Below are 23,638 nucleotides of genomic sequence, written 5' to 3'. Positions count from 1 at the left end.
AGAAATTATTTTTCTGAAACTGAATAGGCTAGGTAGCCAGCAGACAGAAGGCTCTAGCTGGTACCCAGCAGACACAGCCTCAGAAGAACACAGGAGGGTGGAGAGTGAGTGAGGTTTACGTGGCCAAGGCTCAGAACCAAGCCCTCAGTGAAAACTCTGAATTCCACAGTTCCCATACTACACTTCCTCGTAGGTAGGGAGGGCTGGGTCTGAGATGAGGAAGAGGGAATGACTCACCTTCAAAAAAAAGAAGGCCACTGAAGTTGCTAATGGTAAGGACTGAACAGTGCTTGATAAACAGCAAGCATTTAATAAATACTTGCCTTCACTTTGTGAGGCCGAGGCAGGCAGATCATGAGGTCAGGAATTCGAGACCAGCCTGACCAACATGGTGAAATCCGGTCTCTATTAAAAAAAAATACAAAAATTAGCCCGGCGTGGTGGCGTGTGCCTATAATCCCAGCTACTCAGGAGGCTGAGGCAGGAGCATCGCTTGAACCCACGAGGCGGAGGTTGTAGTGAGCCAAGATCGTGCCACTGCACTCCAGCCTGGGTGACAGAGTGAGACTCAGCCTGGGTGACAGAGTGAGACTCTGCCTCCAAAAAATAAAAAATAAAATAAATAAACATTTGCCTTATGAACAGGTGAAATTAGATGCATTAACCTACAGTAATTCGTGGGGTTGAGTGTGGAATTTTCCAATCAAGACTCAGGAACAGAAATAACTTCTATGTTTAATAGTAATAAAACACATTTTACTTTCTCTAACTCCAAATGCTTAAGAGCTTGTGCAACAAAAACTGAAAGACCCTAAGGGGATGGATATAAAAATAATGCTAATCATTGCAACCATCAACTGATAGTCAACCCTGAACAAAATATCTCTAATACTCAAAACAACCTTGTGAGATAGATTTGTTATCATTAATTTATAGATGACAGAACAAGTGGGAAGAGAATGATGTATGGGTAAAGGTGGTCTGGGAGCCTGGACTTAACAGTAGGTCCCAGTAAGTACGAGAGTGAAAGACACAGTTGTCATTGTCCTCAAGGAATGTGCTCCAGGAGGGGAGGAGTGCATAGACACAAAGTGAAAACAGCAAGGGCAAACCATGGACTGCAGTTGGATCATCAGAGAAGGACTGGGAGCAGCAAAGGTGTGCTTGTGCTTTGGACAGAGCAGGTACTTCATAAGTGTTTGTGAAAATGCACTGAATTAAGCTGAATTACAAGCCAGGCAACGGTAACCATACGCGGAATGGCATGGCGGCCAAAATGAAATGTGAAGCAGAGACAAGATAGGTTTCACTGAATAGAGTGATGAAAACACAGTGGAGGTTGGGCACGGTGGCTCAAGCCTACAATCCCAGCACTTTGGAAGGCTGAGAGGGAAAGATCACCTGAGATCAGGAGTTCGAAACCAGCCTGGCTAATATGGTGAAACCCCATCTCTACTAAAAATACAAAAATTAGCCAGGCATAGTGGTGGGTTCCTGTAATCCCGGCTACTCAGTAGACTGAGGTAGGAGAATTGCTTGAACCTGGGAGACAGAGGTTGCAGTGAGCCGAGATCACGCCACTGTACTCCAGGCTGGGCAAAAGAGTGAGATTCCATCTCCAAAAAAACAAAACAAAACAAAACAAAAACAAAAAACAGTGGAGCCAGATTACGAAATGAGACCAAGAAGTTTGGATTTGATGCAGGAATGCATGGAGCTATTGTAGGTTCTTGAATAGGGGTGAGGCATGAGGGGAGAGGGAATGTGCAACTATGAAGCTGGCAGGAGGATGTAAGATGGCTCTCAATGGGAAGTAGCTAGAGTTGGGAACCTGGGGAAGATTCTACTGTCAGGATTACCTGTGTAGGCTAGAATAGATGGTAGCAATAGGATAACAGAGAAGAGCTAAGTTCTAAGCAATGTTTGGAAGGAAAAAGTATATGTTTAAGGGATGGGATATGGAGGACTGGAGAGACGAGTTTCCAAAATCATCACAAAGGGTGACAATTGTGTCCAAAATTGTCACAAAGCCTTAGAGTGGGACACAAGAGCAGAAACTCCCTCACTGATACATGTGAGGGAGTTAGGGGAGGAGGGGGAGACATGTGAATTTGGACCACATTGAGTTTGTCTTGACTCCCACGTGGTTGCAAGGATTTAGGGTGCATCCATAACAAGTGGAGGAGCCCCAGGCATGGATTGCTGCGAAGGATTACAACTCTCCAGGCCACTGTGCTGCCTTCTCATTGGTTCCTGAAGAAAGGTCAGGGCCAAATACTTACAAGAGATCTCCCCCAAATTATCTCAGCAACTCCTTGTTCTCTTCCAGTCACTCTACCCCCATTTCCTCAGTTCCCAGTTGCCACACAGTCAAAGCAAAGCTATGAGTGATAAATGTTTTGGATGATTTCCAACTCTGCAGGGTGCAAGCTTAATGCAGGAGATTTCTCCTCAGCATCTGTAAGGAACCAGGCCAAATCTTCTGGGATGGAAAGGATTATTGAATCTGGAAGGGACCTTAGAGACTGACTGTATTTAATCCAACTCTTTGGTTCACACATGATGAGACTGAGGCCAGGAGAAGGGAAGTGAATCTTCAAGAAAAGAGCCATTCCCTCCACGAAATAGAAAGAACCAGTTTCTCCAGCAAGGTTCAGGGGCAACAAGAAGGGTAAATCACTCAGTCACTGCCACTGAGGCACTTACAGTCCAGCAAGACTGTTTTGAGAGTAGAAGTAATTCTATTCTAGAATTCTAGAAGTAATTTCAGAGTAGAGTACTTCTCCTTGGATGGGCATGTTAGAGAAGGCTTCCTGGAAGTTATGCATTGGCACGGTTTTAAAGGATAAATAGGAGCTTGCCTGGCAAGAGATAGAGAAAGAAGGTAAGTGCATTTTAAGCAGAGGGAAAAAGTAAAGAGACTTAACACTCTATGGTGCTTGGAGTTACTACAAGGGATAAATAATTTTATGGTAATTGATGATAGAGGAGGAACTGCTGGAGAGGCAGGCAGAACACTGCTAGAATTTAAAAAGTGGGGTTGGGGTTGTAATTAAAACATGAAGCAGATATCCACAAGGTTGTGAGTGATGTTCTAAAGAGTCACAGTCAGAACCAAAGACACAGAAAGTGCTACAGAGCAGAGGTAAACTTTTTCAAAAGAGCCAGACAATAAATATTTTAGATTTGTGGGCCATATGGTCTCTGTTGCAAACAATTCTGCCATTTTAGCACGAAGGTCATCACAGATCATAAATAAACAAATGGCTGTGTTCCAGTAACACTTTATTTGCAAAAACATGTGGCTGGCCCATGGGCTGTAGTTTGTTGATCCTGCTATAGAGAAATTTTGAGATCCTGAAATCACTCTCCTAAAGATGTCTGCATCCTAATCCCTGCAACCTGTAAACATGTGCTGTTCTATGGCAAAAGGTAGCAGATGGAGTTAAGTTTGCTAGTGAGGTAACATGAAAATAAGGAGATTATTCTGGCTTATCCAGTGGGGCCCAATGTAATTGAAAGTGTTCTTAATGCTGAAGAGGGAAGCAGAAGATTTAGTGTCACAGTGACGGAAGGTGAGAAAGGTCTGACCAGCTATTGCTCCCTTTGAAAATGAAAGGGGGCCAGGAGCCAAGGAATGCATGCAACCTCTAGAAGCTGGAAGAGACAGGAAAATGGATGTTCCCTTAGAGTCTCTAGAAAGAAACGCAGCCTTGCCAAAACCTTGGTTTGTGTCGTTTTAAGCCACTAAGTTTGTGTAATATTTATTGCAGTAATAGGAAACTAATACCAACACCCATGTGAGCCAAACCTTCTAAACATTCTGGAGAAACCCAAGCCTCCAGAATTAAGAATGGAGGCTCAACATCCACCTAAAGCTCTCATTTAGATGAAAAGAGTAGGTTAAAGAAATGTGGATTTAGATGTGAGGAAATCAGGTAATGCTTTCAGGGAGTGTTTAAAAGGAGCTGCTTTTACTATTGAAAAAGCTTTATAGATCCCTGATGAAGAATAAGAGGCACTGAGGTGAATTTCTCTATATCCGTGTTTCTCTAGAGGTTCCCAGACCTATACATTTGGGGATTTATACGTAAGGAAGGAGAAGCTCTGTATGAAGGTAAAGATAAAGGTCTCAGAGCAGATCCCTATATGCGGTGCTCAGAGCGGGGAAGTGGCGGTCAGGAATCAGCCCTGACTTTCTCTTCCACTGGCATTAGGGCACCCTCTGTCTCCACTCTCTGCCACTGTACCATTTACATCATGGGGAATACACTTTGCTGCTTTAAAATGTGTGTCATGAGGGAAATGAGAAAATGATGCTGGTGACATTTGACAAAGGACACAGCATTCCAAAGATGAACTTGAGCAGGCCTGGCATGTGCATGCCGTATTAGGGGTCACTTCAGAGACTGCTGCTGCTGGGCACTCGGAGAGGTAGGTCAGTGGAGGTCAAAGGCTCCCAGCCAGAAGTTCTCTCAAGCTACCTGCCATGGCTGTGAGTGGAGGTTGTGGATTCTAACCTCCCTTCTGCATAGTAAACATATTGAAAGCAAAGGCCTCCTCACAGCACCTAACGGGGTGCTTTCTGCTCCATAGATGGAGTCACTGCAAAGTGGCTGATTATCTGGTAAAATAAGGGAGACAGTGAAGGCATGTCTTCTCATAGCAATGATGATTTGTATAAATCTGTAAAGTACATTTCAATATGCAAACAGTCTCACATTGTCTCAAATTATCCTCATAGCAATGCTATGATGTCAGTATTAGCAAACCTGTTTCGCTGATAAAGAGAATGTGTTTCACAGACATTGAGTAACTGCCTAGAACTCCACAGCCAGTAGATGGAAAAGCTGAAGCTTGAACCCAGGTCTTTAATTTTTTAGGTTGGCGCTCAGCTGCACCGCATAACTGGTCCTCCCTTCTTCCCTTCCTTCTCTTTCTCCCTCTCCTAAAAATCTTGACTATTTATTCTGCACCAGACAACACCGTTCAAGATCCCATGGATACAAAATTAACTAAGGCAAGGTTCTGTACCCAAAGATAACAGTTCAACAGGGGAGACAGACATATCAATGTATACATTGTGATGCAATCTAATATTAATACATTTATCGAGCACTCAATATGGGCTAGGCACTATACTAAAGATTTTACATACTATTAGTGTTTAACACCTTACAAAGTAGGCATTACCTTCCCCATTTTACAGATAAGAAAACAGGTTTAGAGTCATTAAAGATCTAGTAAGTGTCAGCCAGGAACCTCATTCTCTCTTGACTCCAGGTCTTATACTCTTAGCCACTATATTGTGCTATCTTGACATAAGCATTAGCACGTAGCTGTACAGTGGGGGCAGTGGAAGAGCAATGGAAAGATGGCTTGACTGCCCAGGACAACTAGAGGAGAATGTTCCTAGGAAGTAGGACATGTGCAGCACAGAGAAATGAACTTGGTCATTTAAAGATGATATTTAAGGTTGGTTTCTGCTCTAAAAATTGAATATGAGAAGAGGGTATCCTAGAAATTGAATTCCACTTAAAGATACTTTTTTTCTGAGTAACTATTATGTGCAAAGCATTGTCCAAGGGATTCCATGGAGAATAAGATTCAAGCCCAAATCTAAAGCAGATAACAATCCTCCATTTGCATTGAGAGAGTGGAGGTGAAGCCACCTCCTGAGGGCAGCGGGGAAGAGAAGAAAGTGTTCTGAACTGGGTATTGGGAGATTTGAGTTATAGTCCCGGCTTTATCACCAGCTCACTCTAAAAGAAAGCCCCTTAGCCTCTATGAGCCCTAGTTCTTCTGCTATGAAATGTGGGTGTTGTACCAAATGATGTCTAGAGGTCTCTTTCTGCTCATATGTTCCATTATTCTAAAACTCATCAAGAAATTACAGAAAGGCACAGGGCTTACCTGAGAATCTGGGAGCAGAGAAGAGGAGAGTAGTTCCTCTATCAGAGGCCCTCCCACATGAGGCTCCCTTGACACCTGAATTTTGTAGGTGCCCAGAGGCCACAGGATGTAAGCTACCAAGGTTCCAAGCCTGCTATCATCAGCCTGGAAAAATTCCCTTAAATAATGAAGTAACAAAACAGTGGGAGAGCCTGGCAGGTACTACCCCAGGACGTCAATGTTTGCCTTGTACATCAACAGCACTAAGTGGCTGCTTGAAGCCATCATACTATTATTATTGCTATTATCATAATAGAATTATGGTAACCGACACTATTTATTGGTATAATTCTGAGCACAAGGTGCCATGAGGGGTGCATTTCTTACAATTACCTATTCCTCTAGGTAAGTCTAACAAATGCTATGATCTCCATTCTAGAAATGAAATTTATGGCTCTAGGAGATTAATAACTTGCCTCCAGTTACACAGCCGCTAGTGAGTGGCACAGCCTGTACTCCCATCCAAGACTGTCTGATTCCAAAGGCAAACTTATTCATCACCTGGCTAAACTTTGCTGCAATCTGTGGTGCTACGTATCTGGGTATTCCCCCTTCACATTGACCTGCAATGAGCAACTGAAAAGGATTTACCGCAAGTAAGAATCATACCATATTCTTGTCTTACAATTTGGAAAGTACTGTCTTATATACCACGTCATCTGATTCACATAGAAGCCCAGGGAGCTAGATGGAGCATTATCTCTATTTTATAGAAGAAGAAACTGAGTCTCAAGGGAGGTTGAGCAACTTGGAGATTTTATAAACCCATTTGCAATATTAATCATGTACTTGTCTGCATTTCCAACTGCTCTGGAACATCATTTTTTAGACCATTACGTCTTGTGTCTTAAAGTGTATCTAGTTATTTATATTTGTATTGCAGAATGGTTAACATAGAGCCTTCCCAGAAACATACTACTGAAAGGCAGGTGGTGTTTCCTTAAATCTTCTTCCAGGACTAAGTGTACATCATTTCCAAACAACCAAGAATAGTTTGGTGAATCCTGAAGTTCCAAACACTCATAAAGACACAGGATTTTTTGTTTGTTTGTTTCAAAATGTCAGTGCATTCATTGAATCCTAGCCTCTTTCCTGAATCGACAATGTATGTGTAAATTGCACTAAATTTTGAACCTTCTTTTTTCTAATTACAAGGCTGTTTGTAGTACTATAGAGTAGAACATGCAGAACTTTCTTATAATTTTTTAGTAACTATATCTAAATGCAATGTTAGCATAGCTCTGTATATGTCAGAAATGTATCTGTCAAGTTGCCCACACTTTCTATCCAATAAAAATGCATAAAAATATACATAATCTTTTGTTTATGGGCCTCACATAATGGGACTCTTTTCTCATTAGAAAAGGTGGCAACTATTTGCATGGTTATATTAGTGGTTAAATCTACTGGAACAACTGTAGCATGAAACAACAGGAATGAATCTCATAAGTACAAATGTGGAGCAAAAAATGCCCAGATATTAAAAAGTACATTAAATAGTATGATTCCATTAATACAAAGCTCCAAAGAGACAAACACTAATCTTTGATATTAAGCCAAGATGTCAAGATGGTAATTACCTTTGGGGTTTAGTGACTAGGAGGGACTTCCAGGGGCCTTCTATGGAATTGGCAGTTATCTGTTCTTTTGGTCTGGGTAGTGGTTACATAGGTATGTTCATTTTATTAAAAATCACTGATTTCTACATTTGTGATTTGTGCACTTTTCTCTCTGCATATGATACTTCAATAATAAGTTTCCGGAAAAAAATCCATGAACTCTCTAATTCCTTGCACCTTGACATCTATAACCAGCATTTTGATTCTTCCTCTGTCACCACTGCTTCACTTTGGAGCTTATCATTAGGAAGTGTTCCATCTCTATTTCTGAAATTCCTCATCTGACCTCAGCTACCTTATCTGCCCAATTTTGCATTTCCTTCCTGGCTACTGGAGGCAACGGCAAGGCAGGGTTTGAAAAAGTTCTGCCATTTACTCCTGTGGGTCTTTTTGTACACAGTTCACTCAATCTTAGTTTCAGGATCTCTATCTGTAAATTTGGGGTAGTAATGGTTACCTCATAAGTTTATGATTTATCTAATTTTTCCTATTATCACAAGGATAAAAAAATAATGTGTGCAACATGCAGCTAAAGCCTGGCACAAAAGCACCCTTGAGAACCTGACCTTGGCCCTCGACTTAACTCCTTCATTCAGCAAATGGCAAGCAGACATTTGCCCAGTCTGCTTGACTCTTTACCTAACATTAATTCCATCAACAGTAATTTAAAAACAACAATAACAACAGCAACAACAAAAAAACCGGTACTCACCACCACCTGAAAATTCCTGGAAATCTCCCATTGTTCATATTTTCTCTTCTGCTTCCATAGTTGAACAGCATAGAAACTAGATTGATTAGGTCTACCACAAATGCACTACTTTACCCTCAGCAAGGCCCTCAATCTGGGTTTACATCTCTCTACTGATTCTCCACAGTCATTATGTCAAGACATTTCCACTATTCACAAATTCCCATTCCCACTTCTATCCTCTAACTTTTAACCAAGAACACAACTTTCTACCTCACTGATGAGATAAAGGTCAATTTGAATTCCATCCACTTCACCACTTTGTGCTGTGGAGGCTTCTCTATCTCCGCTTTTAACCATCTGCTTCAGTGTCCTCCTGGTTCCTGCTCCTCTGTCTCCTCTAGTTTCTTGCAGGACCTCACCAATTTCAGTACTATCCTCACTCATTTACATCTTTACCCTCTTGCTCTCCATGGCTTTCATTGCTTCTACCTACATGTGCATTTATTTTTCTCCTATCCAACAACAACCTGAAAGCTTTTCTTTAGGCCCTGCTTCAATGATATTCTATCTTTCTCATTTTACTGTCAGCTTCCAGAAAAATAATTTTAAATTTTGTTTCCACTTCTGCACCAGCTCCTCACTCTGCACTGTCTCTGTCTCTGTCTCTCTCTCCCTCTCTTTCTCTCTCATCCCAATGGCCTTCTAAATGTGAAATTCAGTGGAGACTTCTTCTTAGTCCCCATTGTCATCTGTCACATTTGACTTAAATGCACTACGTCTATTTCGGCTACCACATTTGTTTTCGCACCTTCAAATGTTATTTTCATTTAGATGCCTCCCAAATCATTGTCCCCGATCTTTTACAAAAGTGCCACATCTGTATTTCCAACTGATCACTGCACAGCACCACACAATTATTCTACTTCTATAAACTCATCATAAGACAGCCCATCTTATGAATGAAACACTGTTTAGGGAAAATAGGGCATCAGATTTCCAGAACTGGCTATTTCACTAACTTACTGAGTGATCACAGGCAAGTTACTTACTCCCACTGGATTTTCTTCTACATGAAACAAAGGGATTGGGCATTATCATGATGCTCTTTATAGCTATACATTCTATAATGCAATATTTAAAAATGATTAAGTCTTCTCCACCTACAATCTACCAATCTCCCTAGGTTTTCCATACTTTTGTGAATGGCACCGTCTTTCTCCCAGTCACGTTGATTTAAAATCTCAGCTTTATCTTCAATTCCTCCATTTCTCTCAACTTCTACAACCCACCAGTTGGCAGGCTCCGGAGTTTCTATCTCAAAAATATCTATTGCATTCAGTGCCCTCTTTCCTTTTGTCTTATTATAAATTAGAGTTGAGTCTTCATTTGAATAACTAGGACTTCTGCAGTCACTCTCTTACTGGTCTCCATGTTTTTACACCGCATCAGATTGCTTTTCTTCATTTGTGACCCTTTTTACATCAAGTGCCAGCTCAAAAATATTTAGACGTCCACAAGTTTTCAAAGGTATCAAATAAAGACAACAAATAAAATCCCTTAATTTGGTGTACAGGGTTTGTGAAAACCCAGGTCTAACATCTCATGCTCTTATCATTTAGCTATTCTCTGTTTCAACCACAGAGACGGACTTATTACCAATACAAGTTCTGTTATTTTCAGCACATTGTCTTTGATCTATTTTTCCTGGATGATGTCTTCTATAATCCCTTATTGAAATTCTTGCCATTGATCAAGGCCTACATCAGGCTTCCTTGATTCCCATGCTGGATCTCCCTACTCAGAAACGCAGTCTATTGGGTGCCTCTGCTGCGGCCCTTTGTCATGATCCAAGCTGATTTTAAATGAGTTATGTCTGCTAATTTCTCCTACTATACTTGAGAATGGAGGCCTGTCACCTTTTATTCAGGAAAGTACTATTATTACTGGCTTGTGATAGATGAAGGATAAAAGAATAAATTAATTACTTAATATTGAACTTAGTATATGATTTTTAAAAAGTCATAGGGAATCTGTTATTAAGGAGTTACCAGGAAGACAAATTACTATCCAATGAGACAGTCAGAAAACAATATAAGATCTTCTGAAATAGCAACACCAAATTAAATTGCTTCTGCTTAGATTCGGATTTTGTCTCAGTACAGCTTTAAAGGAGCTGGAGGATATTAGACACAAATCACCCTGGTCCACCTTTTTCCTATGAATAAAATGTAGGCTTGTCAGGTTTAACCCAAAACAAACAAACAAACCAGACACCCAGTTAAATTTAAATTTCAGATAATACTTTTTTTCAGTTATTATACTACAATCAGTCTTTCTACTAAAAAAATTACCTGTTGTTTATCTGAAATTCAAATTTAACTAGGCATCCCATATTTTATCTAACAACCCTAAATAAGAAGACTATTTTTCATATCTCTATGAGTCTTGCTTCTCCAACATTCTATATTCAATAGGATTTTCACAGAAGGGAAAGATAAAACTGTGCTATTCCCTCTGCCTGCAGTTCTTTTCCTCTGGGTTTTTGCATTTTGATTTTAAGCTCAATTACAGACTTCTTAAGCTTTTCCTGGCCTCTTTATCTAAAACAGCACTTCCTTATCCCTCCAACCATCCCTTACGCTTTGCTTTCCAGTCACTCCTTATCCCATTATCTTGTTTCCATTGTCTGAAATTATCTTTTCACTCTTTTGGGCACATGGACTTGTCTGTCTCTTCAAGTCATTAGAGTGTCATCTTCTGAGAGAAGGGCATTCACTGTCATGTTCACTGCTGTACACCAGTACCTATAACAGTGCCTGGCACAGGAAAAGCTTAAATAGCCAAATAATACTCTAGGTGTTAAAATGAATTTTGTGAGCATTGAGGACTGAGGAGGTCCACAGAAAGAAAAGCTGAGTATGGGTTTATGTGATCAGGGAGAGCTTCTTGGAGGAAGTGGATTTTAGTAATGTCCTATAGCAGTAGTTTTAAAAGAAGGTGAGAATTTCTTGAATAAGGCGAGGGACATTTTCCAACCCTGTATGTCCCTGCTTTCCCCATTCTCCTCACTGGGTCTACGAGAATTTAGTGTGGGAGAGGAGCACTGTGTTTATTGTCAAAAGGCTTCCCAGATGATTCTGATATGACCCCTCTATGTCATTTGAAGACATCTACCTTAAAGGATGGGTAGAATTGGACTAAGTAGAAAGCATTGAGAATGGCATTATCCGCATGGAAAAATGTGACTTGAGCACAAAGAGAGGAAAAGGACCACTAAATATGAGGGACTGTTCAGATCAGAGCAGAGTTAAGGAGTTTAGGCTTTAGCTTATGGATGATGGAGAACATAGGAAAGATTTCCAGAAGGAAATGAAAGAGTAAAAATGGGAATTGATAGGTGTATTTTTACCAGGGTCAGAAAACCGTGATGTAGCAAACATGGTGGTCCACTTCTTAGTTTTGTAAATAAAGTTTTATTAGAACCCAGTCGTGCTCTTTTGTTTTATATTGCCTATGACTGCTTTTGCTGAAAATTCAGCACAATGCCTGTAATGTTTATCTCTTGTCAAACTCTACAAGCCCTTTAAAATTTTGCAGAAATGACCTCACTGACAAGATTGGACAAATTCATTTTGTAGGATGATTATATTAATATGCTTATTAACTCCTAAATACCTGAAAGGATTTTGTACATGTAGGTACTAGGTTAAATGCTGGGTTCTGTATCTTCCTGAATTGTGAGTCCTAGGTCTTGCTCATCATCTACCATATTTACGATATTCTATCTGCATGTGGTTCTGATAACATATTTCAGTGGTGTGATGGTGTCTTCTAACCTGACACAAAATAGAAAACTACTGTTATAAATAACCACATAAGCAAGTTCAAGTCTCTTCCCAAAACTGACATCTGATAGCTAGAGGTTTGGCATGAAGCTTGGTTCCCAGCAATAATACCAGACACATAAGCAGGCCAAGTGTCATGGTTAAGTTTCCCAGTAACTCCAAAAATATCCGCTCTTACCTGTTTTCCCATAAGGATACACAAATGCTAACCTCCATCCTTGTCACACTTCTAGTACTCTCTCAACTCTAAGGCTTACTTCTGGGAATGATCTAACATTTTATGCAAATAGCTAGAGTTTGGTTTCTTTGGATTCCTAAGAGCCTCCTTCTGGAAATGGTACTGTCTTGGATGGCTTTAAAGATTGGTCAAAGGGTACAAAGTTTCTGTTAGGAGGAATAAGCTATGGAAATCTATTGCACAGCACGGTGACTTTAGCTAACAATAAGGTATTGTATGCTTGAAAATTGCTGAGAGAGTAGATCTTAAATGTTCTTACCATAAACAAAAAGTCTATGAGGTGACAGATTATATTAACAAGCTTGATTTAATCATTTCACTGTGTGTGTGTATATATATATATATATACACACACACACATATATATATAAACATCATGCTATACACCATAAATATATATAATTTTTATTTGTCCATTATACCTTAATAAAGCAGGAGGGTAGGGGAAGAGATTCTAATTCCCTCCCAGCCCTGAGGGCAATGTGGAAGCAAAACTTCCTCTTGGCTACAGCAGATCAGGCAACATTTTCTCAAGAAATGTTTATCCAGGGTCTACTGTTCAAGGTGTTGTGGTTACAATGGTGAAAAAATAACCACTCATGAATGACTCGTGAATAAGTATTCTTAGTGCCTAAATGGAGCTATATTCCAACACAGGCAATTGAATTAGAGTGGTATGAACAGAGTGTGGGTAATATTTGGATGCCATGGAAACCCATAGGATGGGCATCTAGCAAGGTCTTGGGTCTTCTTAGAGGAAGTGGTTTCCAAGTGATAAACTGAAGGAGTTACACACAGATAGAGGTTGGGGAGGGAAACCTCAAGAAGAGCAGGTATGAAAGCCCAGAAAGAGAAGAGCACCAGTGTCTATGTTGACAGTGTTTTATAATTAATTGTCGATCATCTCAGCATAGCCAAAAAGCCTTATAGTAGATTCTAATCAATCTCTGATGTGTTGCACCAGAAAGCAAGCAAGAGCTTTTGCTTTTATTCCACTTTTTGTACTGCCACCAAATCTTTTTGTGAATGCTGACCAGTCACTTTATCTTTCGGAACATCAATTTCTCATTTGTCTGATGAGGTTAAGAATACCAGCCCTTGCAGGACTTTGTAGTAATTCAATGAGACTACATGTGGGAAAGTGCTTTGTAACCTCTAAAACACAAGAGATTACTATTCTAATTCCAGCCACCACCCAGGCCACTCCCTGTTTCCACCTCAATTGCCCATCCAGATTTGCTCAACAAATGAAAGCTAATTTTAATATCATCTGCTGACAGTAAATCAATCAGGTGATCAAAGCCAAAAGACCAGTTTATAGATTTTCCCAAGCCACATAACAAGACAGCGTATGTGGTGGTAACAGATGACAGTAAGATGACCATCAAGGACACATCTGTGGTTCTTTTTTATAAATGTGGAAATTAGTGCAGGGAAGAGTCTTGGGAATGTCACGCAGCTAGGAAGCTGATGCTCAGAGAGGCTGGTTTGTGGATGAACTGTGCTTTTCCATTGCCTCCTGTCTCCAAGGCCAGTGGGTCACTTCTGCTTCAGGCTCTTCTTGATTCCTCCAGAAATGAGTATAGGACAGAGCACTGCAATTTCGAAGCAGTTTAGCTTTCCCCATTTTCACCCAGTGATGCTGTGTTCTAATCTCTCTTTGCTTCTGGGCTTACTGTAGTTGAACAGTCCAAACCTCTGTGGTTTGAGAGGCTAATGGCCACCTCCTAAACAAAGTCAATAAGTTGGCTGAGCAGTAAGCTCCAAGATTTAGGAAGAGCTTTCTCTAGAGTTATAAAAGCCCAACGAACATGTTACTTATATCTCTCCCATCACAAAGTCATGACTTAGGAGAAGTTCAGCAGTAATCCCTTCAAGAAAAAGGTCTTTATAACTCGCATGGGTAGAATAACCTGGCATTTGGGAAAGCAACTCAATTATGCCTGCTGGGAGAAAAAGCTATAGGATGAATTCATGACCTAGTTTAGGTAGTATTTAAAATGAACTTTAGTATTTTTATGTAATTGTTACTATTCTATCATGAGATTACATTTATATGCTTGCAATATTTTTTCTCTAATCCTTCCTGAATTAAAAAAAATATGGACTGGCAATCTGGCATAGTTAGAAAAAAAAAAAAGCATTGTCCTAGCGGTAAGAAGCCTGGTGGTCTCGCCCCTGCTTTCCTGCTTATAGCCTTGAGGGTCCTGGCAAGTCATTAAGCCTCTCTGTGCCTCTGGTTCCTCCTCTGTGACATAGAGATAATATTACTAGTCCTTTTTTACCTCAGGATCAAATGGAGAGAAAATGACAACAACAAAATGAAAGTGAAAACGGTTTGAATATCATGATCTCTGACTCAGCCTCCAAGGCCCAAACCTCTTACAGGGCTGAGAATACAGGAGGCCCTTGGAAAATACTTGCTGATCAAATGAGAAGCTCCAAGTTGGATTTCTGAAATAATGAGAAATGAGAGCCCTTAAATTATTAAAAATTACCCATAGAAAAAAATCTGCTTCTCTAATATTGGTAATCTGGTGAATACTGCAGCCATGTGAGGCCTGGAATATACTCATAGCTGTACTATGGGCCTTTCATGAGCACGCAGGAACTTTTCTTCTAAGTGTCTCAGAGAGCCACACCGCATGCTCATATGTGTAAACACACACACACATACATACTGACTCTTTTTCGCTCTTTACTAGAGAGAATATGGAGCCTGTTTGTGATATTAATAGCTTAATCTTCAGAGCTCAGCCACTTAAATATTATTTATCAGTAATGCTATGTTTGGGTGAGAAACCCCAGTAAGAAAGTCAGAAAAACAGAGAATAGGCCATCTATGAAGAATAGACTTGGACACTGAAAACGGGACTGCATACGGCCAGCAGTGATTGCCTAATCCAGCCGGCATGGAGAGACTGCCCTGGCAGATAGTCACCTTCCTAATGGACCTCAGACCCTCTGGGAAATCAAAAACACAAGCCAGGGTAAAGATCTTGAGTTCAGGGTCTGCGTCCAATTCATCTTTGTAGTCACAGCTATACACACACTGTAGGCATCCAATAAATGTTAGATGAATGTATGAATAAGTGAGTGACTGGGGAATGGAAAGAATTCTGGACTGGTAGTTGGAGATGTGGATTCTGGTCCATCCTCTATTATCAGCTATGTAAGTGCACAGAAGTCACTCCAAATCGCCCTCCCTCACATGTGAAATGAGAAGGCTGGATAAATCAACAGTCCACAGTCAATAAAGTACAGTGAACTGGCCGATCTCTGAGCAAGGAGGTGCCACACTCTCCTCTCCACCTTAATGTGGTTTTCAGGTCCCTTGGTGGGCAAGGAGAAGTGAGTCCAGCCAGCAGTGATGTTCCAGGCTGCACCCAGGAATGCAGTGTGAGTCCTGACGAGGTGCCAGAATTAAATCGCTAATATTCATTTCCATGATCAGTATCTCAGGAAGTCTTAAAGGGGAACTAAAATCAACAAAAATTAATTTACTCAAGGCAGCTATTGGCTTTTGATGCCCACTCTGTTGAAGGGTGAGTCTGTCAACTCTGAGAATAAAATAGAACCTTTGAAAGTCTTTTCACATGGCTGAAGAAGGTAAAAACACGAACACCAGAGAGAAAGACATTCCCCTAGATGTCTGTGTTTGTGCAATAGTGCCAATTTTTCCAATATGCATTTTGTTTGGTTTTAATATTCATGCCATTATTAATTCATATTATAACATATATTTTTTCCTTATAATATTTACATTCTATAATGAAATTTGTTACTAAAAAGTCCTACAAATAAAGGCAGAAAAAAGCATTTGATAAAATTCAATTTCCCTTAATGATAAAAACTCTCAACACATTAGGCATAGAAGGTACAAACCTCAACACAAAACAGGCAAACACACAGCTAATGTCACAATGAGTGAGGAAAAGCTAAAAGCTTTTGGCCATTATCAGAAAGATAAAAAATAACAAAAGCCAGCAAGGATGTGGAGGAAAGCAAACTCTTATAAACTGTTGATGGGAAAGTAAGTTAGCACAGCTATTATGGAAAACGGTATGGAGGTTTTGCAACAAAGCTTAAATAGAATTACCATATTACAGTGATCCCACTACTGGGTATTTATCCAAGGGAAAATAAATCAATGTATTGGAGAGATATCTGCACCCCACGTTTATTGCAGCACTATTGACAATAGCCAAGATATGGAATTAGCCTAAATGTCCATCAGCAAATGAATGGATAAAGGAAATATGGCATATAATAATGGAATGCTATTCACTCATGAAAAGGAATGAAATTCTGTCATTTGCAGCAACATGGATGAGCTTGGAGGACATTAAGTAAAATAAGTCAGGTACAGAAAGACAAATACTGCAAGTTTCACTAATATCTGGAGGCTAAAAAACATTGAGCTCATAATAGAGAGTAGAATTATGGTTATTAGAAGCTAGGAAGATTAGTGGGAAGAGGAAGACAGAGAGTTTGGGTAAGGAATACAAAATTAGAGCTAGATAGGAAGAATAAGTTGTAGTTTTCTATTGCACTATGGGGTAAATATAGTTAATAACAATTTATTGTATACGTTCAAAGCTAGAAGAGAGGATTTTGAATGTTCCCAACACAAAGAAATGATAAATGTTTAAGGTGATGAATATGCTAATTACTCTGATTTGATCATTATGCAGTGTATACATATATAAAAATATCACTCTGTATCCCACAAATATATACAACTATTTGGTGTCAACTAAACTTTTTCCTTTTTTTAAAAAGGAAAAAAAGGTACCACAGAATGACTACTATGAGCACAGTACTTTCTACTTCACTAAATGTTTTCAGATCCATGTGAAAGACATTTCAGGTTACAGTGATGAGCTCAGAGGAACCTTTCAGGGTAGAAGGCTGAGTAGATGAAATCTCAAGTTCCACTGTATGGAACCTCTCCACAATTTTTCAGGGAATGTTTGTACAAGTGGAAAACTAAAAAAGATGTCAAGTGCAACACATACCTGACTTGCCACATAATGGGTTTAACAGGAGCATTCTGAGAGTAGGTGGCTAGTGGAAAGAACACAAGCTTTGAAGTCTTGGACTCAAGCCCAGGCCCTGCCCCATAAAAGTTGTGTGATCTTGCAAAGCAACTGTACTTACTTTTTTAAATGGACAGCAGTTAACTTATCTTTAAAACGAATGCAATAAAATCCCCCATAGGTTCAACTTAAAGATGTAAAAGACCCATGAAGTATCTGGCACATAGTAGGGGTTCCAGAAATGACAACCCTTCTCTTTTCCAGACAGCTTGGCCCTTCTGTGGTCTACTAGGTCCCCATCACTGAAGCAACTAAGTAAGGCCTATTAGGTAGTCAGGCAAGCTTCCTTTTCTCCCATTTCCACTTACCAAAATGTTTTCTCTTTCACCACTGGATATGCTCCTCCTCCTATTTTCAAAATTTCAATGAAGAGCCCCAGACAGCATAATATGACTATAGTGACTTTGGAGTAATCTTCAACTTGAGAACAAGAGTCAGCATGAGAACAAAAGTATATTGTTCTATTGATGAACTTTGTAAGTTATTAAATTAGCACAGTGCTATAGGATTTGCCACTCTCTTTTATATCATCTTAGTATGTATCTCAAGAGTTTATGATAAGGAGTGCACTTTGAAATGGTACCTACATTCATACAAATGATTAAAACAGCTTTGGGCAGACTTTTACATATAATAGGATAAGTAATAGGACAACCTTGTTCACCAACCTAGTCATATGTAAGGTAAGCAACCATAATGGACTAATGAATGAATAATGGACTAATAAATTGGATCATTTAACTTTACTACCTACACCATGATGAATTACACCATTCTAATGATTACTCCTAATCATTAGACCAGGCCCTCTGGTGCTTTGAATGTGTCCCCCAAAGCACATGTGTTGGAAACTTAATCCCCAATCAATAGTGTTGAGAGGTAGCACCTTTAAGGGGCAGAGTCCTTATGAATGGAGTAACATTATTATCATAGAAGTGGGTTAATTATCTGAGGAGTGAGCTGCAATGAATAATATATAATGAATAATATAATAAAAAGGACTTTTTGGATAAATGCATGAGAAAGTAAAAGCAAGGTAAAACCGCTCTCTTGAGGATCTCTTTTCATTCTTACTGTTTCAATATGCCATAGAAATAAAGCAATGCCATCCTTTTATTTGGCCTGGCTTCTTTAAGAGTTTGGGAATTACTTTTTAAAGTTTGTGGGTTTTTTGTAGAAATATAGTACGTAGGGATGTCTGCATGCTGATGAAATTCAAAAAAGCCTAAAACAATACCTTCGTTGTAGCACAATAAGTTACTTATAAAAGTACTGAACATGGGAAAGACCCAAGTGAAAACCTGAAATACAAACATCTATTCATGAAATGGGAAACAGTAAAGGGTCTTAGGTAATAATGGATTTTCTATCCTTATGGACCTTACACAAGATATCTGTCGAGGAAGCAAGTGAAACAGTTCCAAGAACACTTAGAAATGCAATCATTTTCCCCCGAGACTCTGAATCTGAATCTGTGTGAGTCTAATATTCAGCAAATGGTGATATGGCTAAGAGATGTATGAAAAGAGACACGAAGAGTCAAATGCCGATGGGCGATGACTCAAAAACAGAACTGTAGAACTTCCACAGAATCAAACAGCCTTGGAATGATTAAACTTAATTTCTAGCCTGAAAACAACTTCTTTCGAAAGGCAACTGTTTCTACATGCATCTTGTGTCACTGAATTTGAGGCTCTGGAAGGGTCACCTCACAGGTGGGTCCCTAACTTCTGACTAAAGAAGGGATACAGAATTATTATGCACATCATACATACTCCAAAAAATTTCGTGTAAGAGTTGGTGAAAAATTCACATGAATAAGAGCTGCTATGAATTATTGATGGTCTATTATGTACAAAATATTCATTGATTCAACAAATATGCGCCAGCCTCTCTTCTAAGTTCATGACAATGAACTGAAGTGACAAAAATCCTGACCTCATGGAGCTCATATGCCATTATTTAATAACACTCACACAATCCTAACCACAGCCACAGAAGGTTATTATTCCTATTTTGCAAATGAGGAACCTGAGATTTAAAAGAATTAAGTAACATGCCTAAGGTCACAAAGCTAGTAACTGATGAGCCAGAAGTCAAATCCAGTTCTGTGCAGCTCCTCAGTCTGACTTCATAGCTACTTTGCTACATTATCTCCTATTGGCAACAGAAAAAGAATTGCAATGAGGGTCAGCACATCAACTAAAAGAAGCTGAGCATTCTCCATAAAAGTATGCTTTCTTGTTTATCGTAAACAGACTACAGTTTACCAAGAAGTCAGCCCACTCCCTATCACGTGCCTACCAGTATGTAGGTCTCATTCATCCAGAATTTATTAATCAGGTATGTGCCAAGCATTAGGCCAGGTCCTGTGGATATCAAATAAGACATAGTTTTTGCCACCAATAAGTCTAGTGGGAAAGAAAAACATATAAATGGGTCATCATAACACAGCATGATAAGGCTGAGATAAAGATAAGCCCCGGATGCTCAGGAGAGTGCAGAAAACAAACAGCCCTAATAAGAGACGTTGACCTCTGAATTGGGTCTAAACCAGCGGGCATTAGCCTGATGAACAAAGGGGAATTGGAGTGGGAAAGTACTCAAGTGCACTGAGCAGAGAGGGCGACACGTGAAGGAAGTGAAAGACAGTATGGTGTTCGAGAAGTTGCAAGTATTTTAGTGTGAAGGATGGAGTGCCAGAGAGATGTTCCTGAAAATTGGCTATATTGTGCTGTATTTTAACAATGTGTGTGTTTAGAGGGTGCTGCAGAGAGGACAGAAACTGGAAAGTTGTACATAGAAATCTACTACTGAGCTGTGAAATATTTTTAATAGGTCTTTGCCAGCATTTATTTAAAACAACAAAAGAAAAGAATGGGAGCCGGGCACAGCGGCTCACTCCTGTAATCCCAGCACTTTGAAATGGGAGGATCACTTCAGGTCAAGAGTTCAAGACCAGCCTGGCCAACATGGTGAAACCCTGTCTCTACTGAAAATACAAAAATTAGCCAGGCATGGTGGTATGCACCTGTAGTTGTAGCTACATGAGAGGCTGAGCCAGGAGAATTGTTTGAACCTGGGCAGTGGATGTTGAAGTGAGCCGAGATTGCACTACTGCACTCATGACAGAGTGAGACTCCGTCAGAAAACAAAAAACAAAACAAAACAAAAAGAATAGAATGGAATAAAATATAATAGAATAGAAAATATCAAGTAAAGCATATATAGTAAAGGTAAGTATTATTTCACAAAACACACAGACATGTGGGGCTGAGTCTTAATGTAAAATATATGTTTTATTGTGAGTCATGATCAAAAAAGTTTGAAAGCCACTAATCTAGTCTGCCCCTACCAAGGGCCTGTCCCCTTTGAACTCTATCCAACAGGATTCCCTTGGACCTACTATTTATTCCTGCTGGGAGATAAAGAAAAGCCACTAGGAACAAACCTGTCCCAGGTTCTTAAACACTTCCCCTACTTCGAAGTCCCTGATCTACTTCTAAATCTCAAGTGGCCATACACATAAACTCCAATGATCAGGGCCTATTTCTCATAAGCAATTAATATTTCAGTTTTAAAGAAGTGAGGAAAATATACACACAAAATGAAGCTTCAAATGATTTCAACAAAGTCTGGGGCCTGTGAAAGGTTCTCTGAGCCAGCTATGTTTTCCACCAAATGAATCACTCAGGTACAGAGCCAGGCATGAGTCATGAAACACATCCTATGCAATATCTTTCTCTTTTTTTCTTTTACTGAGAGATTTTCCCTGAAAATTCTTTTTGGATTTCATTCCTCCCCTTTCTCTTTTAATGTAGTCAGTCTCTTAACCGTGTCTCTCCTCTTTGATTTTCCCTTTACTGTGTGTTTTTTTCTCCTCTTTTGCTGGAACATACTGAATTAATAAAAAAAATAGCTAATATAACAAAAAAATACAGATAAAATACAGATAGACAAGAAAAAAACTTAAGATTTATTGCTTATTTCTTTTATCTCTTTTACTGACCTGTTTGCAAAGCACAGGCATCAGAGAGAAACCTGATAGAAATGGTAGAATAAATACTTCTTACCTAAATTATTTGGCTAATTTGGGCTACGAAGATAGTGAAGACTGACTTTAGAAAACCAAAAAAATTCACTTTGGGTCTAAATTAATTAGATTTGATGGCCAATATCAGTAGAATCAATTAGAAAATTGTGTTTTGTGGGTCAGCACATACATATGTCCATGAATAAACAATCAGAAGTTGATATTAGAAATGACTGATTATCTCTTAAGCCATAATGATTTATCCTTCTCTAATGCTAGATATATCTTCTCTGAGCTACAAAAACACCAACTTTGTTGAGAGAAGCCCAAATAAAATCACAGATTTTTTTTTTTAATTTTAATTGAGACGGAGTATTGCTGTGTCACCCAGGGTGGAGTGCAATGGTGCAATCTTGGCTCACTGCAACCACCGCCTCCTGGGTTCAAGTGATTCTCCTGCCTCAGCCTCCTGAGTAGCTGGGATTACAGGCACCTGCCACCACACCTGGCTAATTTTTGTATTTTTAGTAGAGATGAGGTTTCACCATGTTGGCCAGGCTGGTCAGGAACTCCTGATTTCAGGGGACTTGCCCAGCTTGGCCTCCCAAAGTGCTGGGATTACAGGCATGAGCCACCATGTCCGGCCACAGAGCTTTTTGAACCTGAGATAAATCTTAGAGATTATCTGATCTGGAGTTCTCAACCAGTTTTATATGGTTGAGAACAACAACAACAAAATCACATACCTAGCCTTTATGCAGATTCAGGTGGCCCTTTTGTTGAGATTCTATGCTTTTTGTATGTCTATTGGCTGAGAAGATTTTGTTAAAGTTTATTTTCTTGGTTTCTAAAGATTTTTCTGAAGATTTTGTGTGTGTGTTTTAAATAGAAGATGCAATGTTGAATATGCTTTAATAAACTATGTAACTAACTTGGGAATCACTTGCTGAATATGGTTTAATAAACTATAAACTAACTTGGGAATCACTGATGAAGCCCAAATCCCCATTTTGCAGACACGGAGGATGAATTCTAGAGATGGTAAATGATTTCAGCTCAGACTCTATCTTCCATAAACTCAGTACGGTACATGCAATGCACATAGTAGATGCTCAATAAATATTCAGTTTACCCACCTTTTAAATGGCCATAAAGGAAAGGAATGAGCCAAAAAAAGTGAATGACAAAAAATAAGTCATCGAGCTACAATACCACGGCAAATATTTGCTTGGGAGGGTGATTTTCCAGGGGATTTCAGAATTTGCCCTTCATTTCTGTCACATTTTAGTTACTCTGCCAAGAGCTCCACAGCAAATGACTGCTGCACGTGAGGAGACACTTGTCCAAGCAAGCGGTGTAAAAACAAAGCTGCTTTGTTTAGAGTGCCCCAGTGCTTCTCCCTCCCTCCCCGCCTGACCTCAAGGACCTCAAAAAAGGTCATTTTGTGATGCTTTAGTGTGTCCATGAATAAACTTGAATCATCATGTGTCACAATCAGAACCACTAAGCCAAATGCCATGGACCCAATTACCATGCAATCCCCAAATGGGTTATAATGGCAGGTCTGGGCTGCTGGGTCACCAGGCTATTACAGCTGGGTTTGTTTTTCAACTTACTTCCAGGGAGCTCTGGCCCTTTGCAAACATTCGTACTAAAGTCATTGGAAAATATCTTAAATTCATTCAAACTTCCTTAGGATAGAAAAACAATAGAAGTATTTATGTTACTTTTCAAATCATGTAGAATTAGTGTCTTAGGGAGTCTTAGGCACAGATCATATCTAAAGAGATAGTGGGAAGGAGGAGGTAGAGATAATTATGTAAATAATTTGGAGAGTTAAAACAATAAGAACAGTGTACGATATGTAGGCAGGTATTTGGATTACGTGTGTTCACTGATTACAGTGATCAAAATCATGGAATACCTGTTCAACTTTCCAGCTGACATTTAATAGCCACCATTTAATGAGTATCTACTACTTGGCAGGCATATACTTGGTGCTTTATATGCATTATTCTGTCATTTTTACAATAACCATGCAAAGTCAGTATTATTAAACTCATCTTTCAAGCTGGTAAGTAGCAAAGCTGTGATTTATATCCATTGTTATCTGTCTCCAGATAATGACTTGGCCTTCAAAGGCAAAAGTATAATTCTA

General features: G+C 39.5%; 1 protein-coding gene across 7 annotated transcripts in view, besides 1 other annotated feature; it reads right to left on the bottom strand.

Moving 5' to 3' along the window:
• The window catches only part of PDE4B (phosphodiesterase 4B), a 582,070-nt gene that overhangs the window by 58,530 nt on the left and 499,902 nt on the right, over window positions 1-23,638 (bottom strand). The gene's annotated exons all lie outside the window — the stretch shown is intronic.
• Window positions 14,601-14,660: an enhancer, noted in NCBI's record as "active region_1148". NCBI's record gives its function as "activates an Ori minimal core promoter by ATAC-STARR-seq in GM12878 lymphoblastoid cells {active_cell/tissue: GM12878}" and the evidence as "EXISTENCE:reporter gene assay evidence [ECO:0000049][PMID:35858748]".

This window comes from Homo sapiens, chromosome 1 (genome assembly GCF_000001405.40).
Source record: "Homo sapiens chromosome 1, GRCh38.p14 Primary Assembly".
Lineage (NCBI taxonomy): Eukaryota > Metazoa > Chordata > Mammalia > Primates > Hominidae > Homo > Homo sapiens.
The sequence above is the reverse complement of the archived record's forward strand: the minus strand, read 5'-3'. Positions and strand labels throughout refer to the sequence as shown.